Below are 1,295 nucleotides of genomic sequence, written 5' to 3' on the forward strand. Positions count from 1 at the left end.
AATATCAATGAAGAGATAAAAATATAAAACTGTCACGTCACAGTGATTTTTAAAAACAGGCTGGGCTGGGCGCGGTGGCTCACACCTGTAATCCCAGCACTTTGGGAGGACAAGGCGGAAGGATCACGAGGTCAGGAGATCGAGACCATCCTGGCTAACACGGTGAAACCCCATCTCTACTAAAAATACAAAAACAAAATTAGCCAGGTGTGGTGGTGGGCACCTGAAGTCCCAGCTACTAGGGAGGCTGAGGCGGGAGAATGGTGTGAACCTGGGAGACGGAGCTTGCAGTGAGCCAAGATCTTGCCACTGCATTCCAGCCTGGGCGACAGAGCGAGACACCATCTCAAAAAACAAAACAAAAAAACAGAGGCCGGGCTCAGTGGCTCATGCCTGTAATCCCAGCACTTTGGGGGGCCGAGGTGGGTGGACCACCTGAGGTCAGGAGTTCGAGACCAGCCTGGCCAACATGGTAAAACCCCGTCTCTACTAAAAATACAAAAATTAGCTGGGTGAGGTGGCAGGCACCTGTAATCCCAGCTACCCAGGAGGCTGAGGCAAAAGAATCGTTTGAACCTGGGAGGCGGAGGTTGCACTGAGCCGAGATTGCGCCATTGCACTCCAGCCTGGGGGATAAGAGCAAGACTTCGTCTCAAACAAACAAACAAACAAAAAACACAGAATCCAGGCCGGTATGGTGGCTCACGCCTGTAATCCCAGCACTTTGGGAAGCCAAGGTGGGTAGATCACCTGAAGAGTTCGAGACCAGCCTGGCCAACATGGTGAAACCTTGTCTCTACTAAAAATACCAAAAAAAATGTAGCCGGAATTTGTGGAACACACCTGTAATCCCAGGTACTCGGGAGGGTGAGGCAGGAGAATCACTTGAACCCAGGAGGTGGAGGTTGTAGTAAGCCGAGATAGCACCATTGCACTCCTGCCTTGGTGACAAGAGTGAGACTCCGTCTCAAAAAAAAAAAAAACAAAAACAGAACCCAACTCCCAACTATATGCTATCTTCAAGAGATTCACTTTAGATTAAATACACAAATCAGTTGAAAGCAAAAGAATGGAAAATGTATTTCAGGCAAACAGTACTGATAATAGAGCTGTTGTGGCTATACTAATACCAGACAAAATAGACTTTAAAACAAAAATTGTTAGACAAAGAAGAACATTATATAATGGTAAAAGGGTCAATTCATCAAAAGACATAACAATTATAAGTATATATGCACCCAACAAGAGAGCCCTGAAATACGTGAGGCTAAAACTGACTACATTAAAAAAGAAAA

The 1,295-nt window shown here is 45.9% G+C and overlaps 1 annotated feature.

The window, feature by feature from the left end:
- Positions 505-1,005: an enhancer, noted in NCBI's record as "H3K4me1 hESC enhancer chr4:148619575-148620075 (GRCh37/hg19 assembly coordinates)". NCBI's record gives its function as "activates a minimal SCP1, AML or CMV promoter by ChIP-STARR-seq in primed H9 embryonic stem cells {active_cell/tissue: H9 hESC(primed)}" and the evidence as "EXISTENCE:reporter gene assay evidence [ECO:0000049][PMID:30033119]".

Source organism: Homo sapiens, chromosome 4 (genome assembly GCF_000001405.40).
Source record: "Homo sapiens chromosome 4, GRCh38.p14 Primary Assembly".
In the NCBI taxonomy this organism is placed as follows: domain Eukaryota; kingdom Metazoa; phylum Chordata; class Mammalia; order Primates; family Hominidae; genus Homo; species Homo sapiens.